General features: G+C 44.4%; 1 protein-coding gene, 1 long non-coding RNA gene and 1 pseudogene across 30 annotated transcripts in view, besides 2 other annotated features; 1 reads left to right on the plus strand and 2 right to left on the minus strand.

Moving 5' to 3' along the window:
- Nucleotides 1-13,198, minus strand: part of WHRN (whirlin) — a 103,394-nt gene that overhangs the window by 82,364 nt on the left and 7,832 nt on the right. The gene's annotated exons all lie outside the window — the stretch shown is intronic.
- Nucleotides 4,250-4,309: an enhancer, noted in NCBI's record as "active region_28867". NCBI's record gives its function as "activates an Ori minimal core promoter by ATAC-STARR-seq in GM12878 lymphoblastoid cells {active_cell/tissue: GM12878}" and the evidence as "EXISTENCE:reporter gene assay evidence [ECO:0000049][PMID:35858748]".
- LOC124902254 (uncharacterized) lies at nucleotides 6,532-8,457 on the minus strand. The gene is made up of 2 exons (XR_007061743.1): nucleotides 8,425-8,457; nucleotides 6,532-6,907 (listed from the first exon to the last, which is right to left on the minus strand). It is a non-coding gene; the product is annotated as an uncharacterized LOC124902254 (long non-coding RNA).
- Nucleotides 7,062-7,570, plus strand: LOC100131877 (small EDRK-rich factor 2 pseudogene; annotated as a pseudogene).
- Nucleotides 9,646-9,940: a silencer, noted in NCBI's record as "tiled region #12257; HepG2 Repressive non-DNase unmatched - State 23:Low, and K562 Repressive DNase matched - State 5:Enh". NCBI's record gives its function as "represses a minimal TATA promoter and a strong SV40 promoter by Sharpr-MPRA in HepG2 and K562 cells {active_cell/tissue: HepG2 | K562}" and the evidence as "EXISTENCE:reporter gene assay evidence [ECO:0000049][PMID:27701403]".

Here is a 13,198-nt window from a genome sequence, read left to right on the forward strand (position 1 = left end):
AAGATCACCATTCTCCTTTCTCTTTACTTAGAGGAGCCCTATTAGCACAATGCCTATCACTGAGGAATTCAATGAGCTACGGCTGAAAAGGAAAATTGCAAGATCTGGGGAGAGCCCACCGCATGCAGGGATGGTCATTAGAGTGCTGTGTTCCCATACCTGTTATCACGTGTTTACTGGTGAAACTTGACCCTGGGGCATTCCACCAACTCAAATCATAGAGAAATCTCGATCTGACCCAGCAGATGGCACGACTAAGATACTATCCATCACCAGATGACTATTCTGGCAGCACGTTATGATTATGGAAATGTAAATTATATGTGTATGTCTTCAAACTTAATAACTTGCTACTTGGATTAATGCTCTCAGGAGGCAAATTTGCCTCACTCAGCTCTTTGGAGCCAACTCTGAAACCCCAAAATCATAGACCAGGCTGACATGATTCTCTGCTTAGCAGAGGAGTGAGAAATAGACTGGAGAGGGTCACAGTGTAGGGGGCTAATGGGATGTGTTAACATGGCAGACGCACACATGCTTCTGTGTTCAAAACCATACACCAAAGGCAAGCATGGGGTGGACCTCAAGGTCACAAGACTATCAGATCACTGTGCTGAGGAGCACGTGCAACAGAGGTATTCCAAAAAAGTCTCAAGCAAGGACACGTAATGATGAGTCACCCAGCTTATTTCAGGGTGCAGACCTCAAAGGGCAAGGTTTTCTCTTTTCGGAAACAGAGACTCAACAACAGGAAGGAGAACTGGTCTAAGACCCATCTTAGTGACCCAGAAGGGAGGAAAAAATTATGCATGCCTGCTCTTCGCAGCCGCACCTTGCCTAGCTGGGGCTTTGTGTGTTCAGACACACCGGACAATGGTGTTGGCTCTGTAGATGACTTGCTGTGTGACACTGAGCCAATTGCCTAAACTCTCTGTGCCTGTTTCTATATTTAAAAAGCAATTGCTGGTCAGGCGCAGTGGCTCAGGCCTGCAATCCCAGCACTTTGGGAGGCCGAGGCGGGTGGATCACCTGAAGTCAGGAGTTCAAGGCCAGCCTGGCCAACATGGTGAAACCACGTCTCTACTAAAAATACAAAAAATTAGCCAGGCATGGTGGCGGGTGGCTGTAATCCCAGCTACTCAGGAGGCTGAGGCAGAAGAATTGCTTGACCCCAGGAGGCGGAGGTTACCATGAGCCAAGATTGCACCACTGCACTACAGCCTGAGCTACAGAGCGAGACTCCGTCTCTAAATAAATAAGTATATAAATATCAATTGTTGCCTGGGCACAGCAGCTCAGGCCTGCAACCCCAGCACTTTGGGGGACAGAGGCAGGAGGATTACTTGAGGCCAGGAGTTCAAGAGTAGCCTGGACAACATGGTGAGACGCCACAAAAAAAATTTTTTTTTTAAAATTTAAAATTATCCAGGCATAATGGTGTGCACCTGCAGTCCTAGCTACTCAGGAGGCTGAGTTGGGAGGTTTGCTTGAGCCCAAAAGATCGAGACTACGGTGAGCTATGATCGAGCCACTGCACTCCAGCTGGGGCAACATCGCAAGATTCTGTCTCAAAATAATAATAAAATTAAAAGCAACTGTTGAAAAGATTTAAGAAACTGTAAACTGCGTATACAGTACCTAGCACATGGTAGGTACTAAATGCATGCTAATTCCCTTCCTGAGGCTGCCAGTTCCTTCTCCCAAACAGAGGTCCCAGAAATTCTCTAAACCTCGAATCTATATGGACACAAACACGTGTCCCCCAACTTTCTTCTTTTTAAGAAACATCCTTCTTTAATCCACATTTCCTCGTATCTGCGCTGCCTTCAACACTCAGCTCCTTTCCCACGACCTCCAGAAAAGCTTCCCAGATTGTGGCTGACTCTGTCCTCCAAGAGCATCCAGCACACTTCTGTGATTGTGCTGCCGTCTATACCACAGGCTCTGAGTCACATTCGTGATCTTGTCTTTAAGACTACAAGACAAGTTCCTTGAGGCACATTACATGTTCTGTTTCCTTTAGAACCTCTCCCTGCTCCTTTTCACTCGTTTAGCCAACCATCCATTCATTCATCGTTGAACAAGATATTCAATGAGTTTTCTATATGCCAGACAGCCTCAGGAATCTGTTCAAATTAGGACACAGAGCAGTGCTCTTTCAGATCAGTAGTCAGGCAGTCCACACTTCTCCACTTTAATGTGAGCATAGACACATTAGATACACATGGAATTTGGAGAGACAAGTGAAGAAAGTGTGGTTAAGAGCCACAGCCCTGGAGGTAGGCTGTGGGAATTCCATCCTAGCTCTGCCACCTGCCAACAGTAACCTTGGGCAAGTTACTTACCCAATCTGTGCCCCAGCTTCCCAGGCAAAAAAAAAAAAAAAAAAAGAGAGAAATAACATAGGTATTATCTCACAGGGTAGTTCTGATGATTAAATTAGTGTGTGTGTGTGTGTGTGTAGAGTGTGTGTGTGTGTGTAGAGTGTGTGTGTGTGTTGTGTGTGTGTGTGTGTGTATATATATATATATATATATATATATATATATATATATATATATATATAATATATATAGTGTTTAGCACCTGGAACCTAGGTAAGAGATACCAAAAAAAAAAAAGAGAGCGAGAGTGAAAGAGATAACAGAGGTATTATCTCACAGGGTAGTTCTGATTATTAAATTAGTCAATATATATATAAAAGGTTTAGCACCTGGAACCTAGGTAAGAGATACCAAAAAAAAATTTTTTTTTTTTTTTTGTCTAACAAGAAATTCTGGGTACTGTAGAGAACTCAGTACCCAGAACCCAGAGTGGAAGTCTCAACCCACCACCCATGGTAACGACTGATATGTGTTGATGTCTGCCCTTCCTGACTTGCTCTTGTACTTTATAAACACGTATATATACATATACAAGCTTATCATCTGATTACATAAATCAACTCACAACTGAACATTTTCTGCTCCATCTTTTTTTCCACTAAAAATGTATTTTGAAGATCTTTTCTTACCAGTTCAATGACATAAAGCTCATCTCTTCCAATACTCCATCCCATTCCCTGGAAGGGACTCACCACTACCGAATTCTCATTCTCCTATCAATGGACATTTAGGGTGTTTCTCATTTTTTGCTAGCACCATCACCTGCGATGAACATCCTTGTATGTGCCATCTTGGGGCATTCATGCATCTAATTCCCTAAACTAGAGAAAAATGGAATTCCTGAAGCCATAGGCAGTGAGTCTTTATTCACAGACAATCACATTTCCTTGCCAGTGTCCCCTGGGGCATGCCTTATCCCTTTTGTAGTTCCTGTATCTACCTGCAGGGGGAAGCACTATGCCATCTGGGCCTACAGAGGACCTGAATTCCCCTGACAATGTGGACAGGGCTGGGTGGAGGCCTCGCAATGTCCTTCTCCCAAGGGAGTGCTCACTCTGGTGGAGAGATCCACACTCCTTCGTGCTTTCTTCCACAGTTTCCAAAAAGCTCCCAGTTTAGGCAGATCTTGGCTCTATCTTCCAATCATCTGGGGGCTAAATCTTGGGCCCTAAAGCACTGCAAAGCACCAAAATGAAAACGGTAACCTGGTGGTGTCTTAGGGTGCGAACTCCCTCAAAAGTGTTTTCCAGTGGAAGGTACAGTTGCTAGAAAGCCATTCTCAAACAGTGTTCAACCCCTTCCTAGCTATGAGACTTCAGACAAGTTACTTAACTTCTCTGGCCTCAGTGTTCCCACCTATTAAAAGGGGCCATAACGCCTATGCTCATGGAGCTGTCATGTAAACTGAATGAGGGCCAATGAGAAAATGTGCATAAAGCATCTTGCACTGGGCAGGGCGCACAGGAGGTGCTTGGCAAATAGTGGGTAGCATTAGTAACAGCAAAATTACAGCGATGATGCCACATTTTATTCTTCCCACTGCACAGATGAGGAAAGCGATTCTAGGTGGTGAAGTGTCTATGCACGGTCACAGAAGATAAAAGGCAGGGCTTTTATACCTCTCTCCTCGCTTCTCTCCATTGCCCTCTCACCAGCAGTTTAAGGGGATTCACACCCCCTTAAACACCAGGCCAATCCTACACCTTGGCCCAAGACAGACAGGGGAGGGTTTTTAAAAAGGACATGGGCCTCACAGGATGTAAACAAAAGAAAGTCCCTTAGGGTCTTGAACCCCGAGCAGGTGCTGTGTCCAGCCACATGGACTGGAAAGTCCCTTCCCATTTAGCCCTGCTTTGAGGGAGGACAGAAATTGGTGATGCGGACTCTGCCCCAGTAGCTTATTTTAATGTCATGAGAAAGTAAAACCCTAATTAGCACTCTGTCTTCCAAGCTCCTTCCATCTGTACCATTTTCATCTGTGTTAATTACCTCTTACAGGGACCACTAACTGCAACAGCTTCCCAGCCTCCTCTCTCAGCCCAGTCACTGCAGAGCAACCAGAGAATCCTTATAAAACATACGTGGACTCTGACCCTTCCCTGCCCCAAACTCTCCCCATTGCTTCTGCTATAAAACTCCCCACAGTGCATCTTGGGCCTGTGCGCCTGGTCCTGATGCCTGGCCAGCCTCATCTCCTGCCCTGCCACCTGAGCTGTCTTATAGGATCAAGTACTCCAAGCTCTTCTCCACTTCAGGCCTTTGCACGTGATGCTCTGTCCCTGAAAGTACATATCTCAACATACTTACTTATGCAAATGATTATTTTATTATCTACACTCTTCTCAGTTGACCAGGAAGGCAAGAAATTGTTGTGGCTTGATCAGAGATGTATCAATAAATAGAAAACATAGGAGATGGTAAGAGATTCCACATAAAGAGACAGTGAAGAAATGAAAGGATGCTTTCTTCTTGGAATTGAACACCAATAAGGAAATTTACCTCTCCTGAAGTTACCAATGATTTCTCTAGTAGAATGGAAATAATCCATTAATTTCTCCTTTTGCCTTGGTTGCTAGGGGGCTCAGAATTCAATTTCAATATAAATACTGTTCCTATCAAAGGCACCACACACACATACACACACACACACACGCACACACACGTACACACACACACGCACACACGCGTGCACACACACACACACACACACTTTCCAAGATCACTTCTGATTCCTCTACCTTTTTAATGAAGTGCTTTTCAGGTTAACTCACTCCATTACTTTTGACTTAAGTAAGAATCTTAATTATAAATGTATTAGTAAATAAGCAAATGAGATATGTAAAGTTTAAAGCGGGGGTTAAACTACACCATTCACATGGTAGATGCTCAATAAAACCACTGCTGAGTGAATAAACACTAAAATCTAAGCACATTTCTAGAATTAGATACCTTTTCTATGCAGCTGGAGATGGAGATCCTTTTTACAGATGCTTGGGCAATCATTCTGCTTTCTCCTCCTACCTCTCTCCCTCCACTCTATAGAAAGGCTCTGCAGCTACTGAGTTTGGTCTAAGAACACATGTCATTTGTAAACATTCTCTTAAACAAAAGTCCAAAAATTGTTATTCTTATATTATTTTGGAATGATGACATAACTGGGCAATGGTGTGGTAAGAATTCTGTTTCTCAAAGAACTGTGGCTTCACAGTAGCATCCTCAACATCTGTGTGCTCATCAGGGAGCCAGGACCCGCGACACAGCCATGCCACGACACGGTCCATCTGCTCCGGCTCTGTGCGGCCACCTCGCTTCCTTGCGCTGCTGCATCCCAGGGTAAATCGAGTGGACCACAGAGCATTGGTGTGAACTCATCCAAGACCCCATCCCTGAAATGCAGCCCAACATAAGGATCATTAAACGCAATGACAACATACGTCAAAAAGAAATGCAAGGAAGCAGGTGATTCGACAATTGAGGAAATGTGAATACACAAGGATAAAGGCCAGGGGAGATGGCAGAGAAATGTATGATGTCCAGTTAGAAGGATGGGAACGTGGGTGTCTTCTCCCCTTTTCTGGTTTTCTTTAGTGCTATTTAGATATGCCTTTAATTTGGGCCTCACGAAGTAGGTTTTTAAAAACCAACGGCTGGATAGGAGAGTATTTAAGGAAAGAAGAACATTTAAAGAAAAAGTTTTTTTTAAAAAAGATATAAAAACCAACTGTTCATTCCTTCCACCCTCTTTTAAGAGTTTGACCTTCTCTGAGGGTTCAATGTAAGGATGCAGAAGGAAACCTTTGCTTCCATGCTGCGAATGCCGGGATCTCAGAGGCTGGAAGAAAGACCTGACATTTTAAAGTCCCTGCTCTCCACTGTCATTGCTTCTAAATGTTTGGGTGAGTTAAGGCTGTGTGAAAAGAAAAAAACATAAACCTTCAAAGAGAGGGATAAAATCCTGACCTTGGGAATAATGCTACAAGAAATTTGCAACAAAGTGACAGATAGGCTGTCCACCCCTTTGCAAAACAACTCATAAGGACAGAACAGATTCCAGAAAGATATTGATTCCTCTTTAATGCAATTCTTCAATTATCCTCAAAGCCTGGCTTTTAGTCTGTTATAATTTAAGTAAATTGCTTTATAAATGTTCTTTTAAGTTTTGTCTGTTTATTCTTTTTTTTTCTTTAAGGAAGAACAAGATTCTCAGAGTCATAAATATATTCACTCAAGATGAGCCCCAATGGGTTTGCAATGGCACATTTTGTTGTCTGGGATCGATGTCCGAAGCACAGAGATCCATCAGGAATATCTGTTTATATCCATATCGTTTTCTCATTCCATGAATAGATACGTTGATGGGATTTAGTCTCCTCCCAGACTCTTGACATCCCTGTGCCTCATCACTTTTTGACAATTCTCAGTTGAAAAGGTGATGGGCTTCCAATTTAATTCAAGCTCAGATGAAAAATCTGAATTCAAGGTGGATTAATCAGCCATTTCCTAAAAACCTACTCGGCCGATGTCTGAAAAATAATGATAGATTTGATGACACTGAAATGCAAAACTCTTGTGATAAATGGGCACAGGATATCAGTCAGTTATGCACGAAATATATACGTGTAAATACATGAACACACACACAAACAATAAACATGCAAAAGAGTTTAACTTCACTGCAACATGGGACAGAATGAGGGGATGCAACGGAGGCAGGTCGGAGCCGCTGCCATCACCATGACCTGTGGTAACCAGCAAGAGCTCCCCACCAGAAGAGTATGAAAAAGCAGAGCGCGCCTCGGTTAAGGGAAAGCACCAAGATGACAGGCTTTTTGCCGCCACCCGCAAGCAGAGGGACTTGGAGATCATGCAGCAGAAGGAGAAAAAGGCAAACGAGAAGCAGCAGGAACCCAAGTAGCTTTGTGCTTCGTGTCCAACCCTCCCGCCCTTTGCCTGAGTGCCTGGAGCCAGTCCCACCATGCCCACGTCTCCTCCTGCAGGGCCCACAAGTCCCAGCCCTGATGGCTTCCCTTTGCCCTGAGTCTGCAGCGGGTCCCTTTTGTGCTTCCTTCCCCCATCAGGTGGCCTCTCTCCTCCTGGGTCACTCCCGGGGTGACAAGGTTACCCCTTCCCAGTGTTTTTTATTCCTGTGGCGCTCACCCCAAAGTATTAAAAGTAGCTTTGTAATTTGAAAAAAAAAAAAAAGAGCTTAACTTCACTATTTAAGTTATGTAAATTAAAACAGGATACCTTTTTGTCTAACAGATTGATAAAAATGGAAAAGAAATATAATACCCAGTGTCGGCATGGCTGGAGAAAAATGAAGAGCATCAACTGCTGTTAAACGCTGGTGGGAGGGAATATACAAAACAAATTCCGTCCCAGGGGCAGTCTGGCAACAGTTAATCAGAAGCTTTAAAATTGCGCCTCTCCCCCGAGCCAATGCCACCTCTAGAAAGACAGCCCAAGGAATTATTAGAAATGTGCTTAAAGATGAATGTGCAGGGATGTCTAAAGCAGCAATATGGATAATATTAAAAAACAAACTGTCTAACAAGAAGAAATTAGTTAAATAAATCATGTACCTCTTCACTACGATATATTATGCAATCATTAAAAAATCACAGTGTAGAAACATTTATCAAGGTGGGAACACAGTCATCATACATCGCTTGGTGTAACGAATAGGCTAGATAACGATGCTCAGAATGGCAGCTTTGGGAAGAATTCCCAATACAAATGCATACACAGATGCACACAGGGTACTCTAATTGTCAATAGTGATTATTTCTGGCAGGTGAGTGGGTACAATTATTACTGACTTGGGGAGGGTCTTTTGGCGTTTTTCTGAAGTTTTCAAGTTTTAAAAATTAAGTCCAGGCTCAGCGTGGTGACTCACACCTGTAGTCCCAGCAGTTTGGGAGGTGGAGGTGGGTAGATTGCTTGAGCCCAAGAGCTCACGACCAGCCTGCGCAACATGGTGAAACCCCACGTCTACAAAAGAAAAAAAAATACACACACACACACAAATATATATACACACCATGCTGGGCATGGTGGCGCAAGCCTGTAGTCCCAGCTACTCGGGAGGCTGAGGCAGGAGAATTGCTTGAGCTTGGAAAGTTGAGGCTGCAGTGAGCCAGGATCGCATCACAGCACTCCAGCCCGGGTGACTGAGCAAGGCCCTATCTCAAAAAAAGAAAAACAATTAAGTCCATATATGTTAGGTAATTAAAATAAAGAGGCTAGGCACAGTGGCTCACGCCTGTAATCCCAGTGTTTTGAGAGGCCGAGGTAGGAGAATCGCTTGAGCCCAGAAGTTTGAGACCAGCCTGGGCGACATAGTGAGACCTCATCTCTACCAAAAATAAACACAATTAGCCAGGTGTGGTGGTGCACACCTGTAGTCCCAGCTACTTGGGAGGCTGAGGCAAGCAGATCACTTGAGCCCAGGAGTTCAAAGCTGCAGAGAGCTGTTATCGCGCCACTGCACTCCAGCCTGGCCAACAGAATAAGACCCTATCTTTTTTTTAAAAAAAAAAAAAAAGTGGGGGTGGGGGGGTGGGGAGAAAAAACGTTTTATTTAACAGCCTAGACAAATTCCTCTATTCCATTTGTTTCCTATGACCAAACAAAATGCCCCTTTAACTTGTCCAGTCTGTGACAGCAGAGTTAATGACCACCAGCCTTTCACATGAGGCCCAGGAGAGAGACCCTCCTCTCATCCTTGAAGTGTGCTGATCAGGCAGTGTAGACAAATTCAGAGACTCCACCATTCAATGAGATAATTTCACAAGTCACCAGTTATCTATCAGGGAATTTCCACAGACAACGTACAAAATAAAAACCTGACAAAGGTCAAGGCATGGTGAGAGAGATAAGAGAGAGGAAAAAGGAAAAAAACAAAAAGGAAAAAGTGCCCAATGCCACCTCTGTCCCTGAAATCTAGTCAATAAAATGCATACAGTGTGCCCAGGGGAGAACAGGGAAGCTGCAGCCTAGGTTTTCTCATCAAATAGCTACAAAGCCATTTCCACAAGGAAAAAACTCAGGGAGGAAACGCACATTTACTGAACTCCTGCTCTTGCCAGCACCACGCTGGGCTGTATGCCGTGCTTCTCCGTTAGCAGCCAGCCGAGAGCCCTGGCAATGAGCATGCACTTTGGAGGCCAGAATACCTGGGTTCAAATCCTAGTCCCACCACCCCTGACTGTGTGCCCCTGACTGTGTGCCCGTGATGGGTCACCTCCTCTTCCAATTCTCAGAGTCCTCTCCCGGGGGGGTATGGTGAAGTGTCAGTGGGGGATTTACATGAAACCCACACAGAGCTTGTGATGTCACAGAAGATTCCCAGTGGTGGTGATATTTTTTAGTGCGCTAAGTACTGTAAACATCTTGTGCGTGTTATCTGTTTTGTACCTTCTACACTGCCAGGAAGAGCAGCATCTGGTAGGAAAACAGATCCCAACACAGGAGTTTGAACATGGTAAATGATCATCAAATGTTCAGACCAATAGATGCACCCAGTGCTTTAACACATTGTCTGCATAATCATCAGTATCCCCATTTTAGAGATGAGGAAACCTGAACAGAGAAGGTAAGTAACTTGTCTGCTACTTTACTATTATTCCCATTACAATTTCACTGAAGAGGAATCTGAGAATCAGAGACGTTAGGAAGCTGGTTCAAGGCCCCACAGCTAGAAAGTGGCAGAGCCAGTCTTGGAAACCCAGGGCTTCGGAGCTCAGGCTCGAGCACTGTGGGGCATCCCTTCTCTCTGCTGTTGGGGCAAAGACGCAACCCCTCAAGTCAACAAAACCTAGGTGTAAATCCTGGCTCTGTCACTTTCCACCTTTGGGATGACTGGCAAGTGACAAACTCTTGGCAATTTTGGAAAACAAAGTGATGAAAATGATACCTACTTGAACTTCACAGGGTGATTATGAGGCTTAACTGAGTTTATACACGTACACTGAAAACAGTGTCTGGTTCATTCTAAGCCCTCTATCAAAGGTTATTATCATACAATGAGCAACAAAGAAAAGAAAACACCAAGAAATGCATTATCTGTGTCATGACAGAAGTGAGAAAGGCCATGACACTGGGGGGGGGAGCGGGTTTCAGGAGGGAAGAGCAGGCTCCTCAGGGTGGGGACAGCGGCAGAGGTGAGCAGGCAGGTCCTCTGGAGAGGACGTACTGAGGTTGCACCTAACAGGATAAGTGGTGTCAACAGGTGGAGAGAGTGAAAGCCTTGCTTCAGAGGAGGGTATGTTGCTTGCTTGGCCAAGAGTGGACACAACTTGGGGAACAGGACTGCTGGTAAAGATCAGAGCATGGGCAGCCCAAACACCAGGTTGAGGAGCTTGGCGTCTGCCCTGCAGGCTCCCAGCTCAAGAGCAGGGTTGTAGACAGGGCACAGCTTGATGAGATATGTATTTAGAGAGTGTACCCGGTCAACAGGATGGACATCAGACCGGTGGGCAGACGAGCAAGACAGGAGACAGACAGGCTGGCCAGGAGGATGCTACAGTTCGGCAGTGCTGGTGGCAATGGTGGTGACGGGGAAGAGGGAGGTGTGGTCTGAGAAGTGCTGGAAAGAAGTAAAGCCTGGAGAGTCCAGCCTCCCTGGGGCTGGTGCAATACTCAAGTGGGAGAAAGTGGGGAACAAGAGCAGGGGAAATATCCACAATTTAAGAGCGAGAGAAAGCACAACGAGAAGGCAATTAAAAAATAGATAAATACACTAAAAGGAGGCACAGATCCTGTGCAGAGACAACAAGGCTAGAAGATGGGTGGAGATGCAGACATTTGGGGAAAGAGGAATTTGAGGGAGAGCTGTACATGTATATGGACCTGAGAAGCAGACTTAAAAATCTCAGGATTGGAAGGACTTGCAGGAGGAGAGGGGCTCAAGAGAGTCAGGGAAAATTTGGGAGAAATGTATGATTCTCTAAAGAGAAAGAAGAGGGAGGCAGAAGGAAAGAGATGAAGAAAAGGAAAAGGGTACACTGGGTCCAAACACTACAAAGGATGCCACCCCTCCGTCCAGGGACAGGAGGATGGACATGGCAGAAGGAAAATCCCTCCCCTGACTTTCAAAGTTTTCCTATCCACATGGGAGGTTAATTTCTGAAAGCTGGACCACGTTTCTTTTCTTAATCAGAAACCTCTTAATGAGACTTTGTACACCTTTTCAGATGTAGCTCAAATAAATTACAGGGTTTTTTTTTTAAGTGCAGAAGCCCATGTTAACAAATCACCAATTTCACCTGCATTAATTGCTTTAATGGGCTCTAAAAACAGCCACCTCCTCTCCCTCCTCATCAGGGTCCCTGGGGAGGCCATCAGGGAAGGTTGCTGGGAAACGAAGTTATGGATGCAGCTGATCCAGGGGACAATGCTGTCACACTCTGGGTCATGCAACTGTCTGGTATGCCACCCACATTGCTATAAGGCCTCACAGATCATCAGAAGGGACGGTGGGGGGACACAGAATTCTATTCAACCACCAGGCTTTATTACTGCTATAAAGCAAAAATGCCGATGCCAAAAGCCAGATAGGAGCAATTACGTTTTTAAAGAAACTCTGTCTATGTGGGGATATTGACTACATTCAGTAAATGACTCTGCAATTCAAACAGCTACAGTGGATCACATGGGCCCTGAGTCCAGTATTTTCTTCCAATGCCACCTAAAAAAATCCAACCAACCAACCAAACAAACAAACAAAAAAACTAAGCAGGCATAACAGAAGACTTTCAAAGACAAGCGAAGGCAGTCCATACCATTTTTCATTACAATGCTTGCAGCAGGACCTCCACTGCCATATTTTCCAGATTTCTGATGTTCAACAGCAACAATGACATGTTTGTGAGGACTATGGGCCAGGTTTGGTGGTAGGATATCTGAGTAACAGAAAGGCAAAGGGACCTGCCCAAGGTCACAGCCAAGTTACACTGTCAGATGAACCCAGGTCCATCTCCAAAACCCATCTCTAACCTCTTGGGTACATACCACCCTTCCTCAGATTTTCCAGTACGTCAGTTGACCTTACACAAGTGGAATCTTGCTGCAAGATAGTTAAGGATGGGGACAGGAAAGGTTCACCTCTCTGGTCAAGCCTTTATGGGGATAAACAGTGTTGGGGATGGAGGAATCCTAAAGGAAGACAGTGTTTCCCAAACTTTAGCATGGTTAAGGCCTGGCTGGGGAGTTTGTTAATTCCTAAGCAAGCTAACATTGTAAATTACCACTTCTAAGGCTCTAACACACAGGTATTTGGGAATATCCTTTTTTACATCATTTTACTCTGTTCTTCCCTGCAGCCTACAGCTTTAGAATCCAGGAAAGAGGACATTTGGGGACCTGTTTATGGAAGGCTGATATATTTGCTTTGCATACAGAGTTGAGAGGATGCTGATATTAGGAAACTCAGGTGGAGAGAAAAAAAATCATGACGAAACTGGCTGCTAACTGAAGCAAAGCCACAGCCAATTTAGCAAAAGGAACACAAATTCTCAAACGGGGAAGGAGCCAAAGGTGCTGGGACTGTAAAGGAAGAAAAAATAAATCCATTTATGCATGCTCAGAGAATAAAGCAGCTTTTAAGCATATGTGTGGTTACTGGAAACTTGGCCTTCACCCAAAATGCTGGGTTTCTAGAAACCTGGACAGTTTTTGTTTTTTGTTTTTAAAAAAAAAAAGAAAAGGAAAAAAAAAAGAAAGAAGCCCAAAAGCCAGAAGATATATCTCACCCAAAATTGGTTCATTGATTGCTTCAGAATGCATAAATAATTCTATTTTGGAATCAAAGACAC

Source organism: Homo sapiens, chromosome 9 (assembly GCF_000001405.40).
Source record: "Homo sapiens chromosome 9, GRCh38.p14 Primary Assembly".
Classification (NCBI taxonomy): Eukaryota; Metazoa; Chordata; class Mammalia; order Primates; family Hominidae; genus Homo; species Homo sapiens.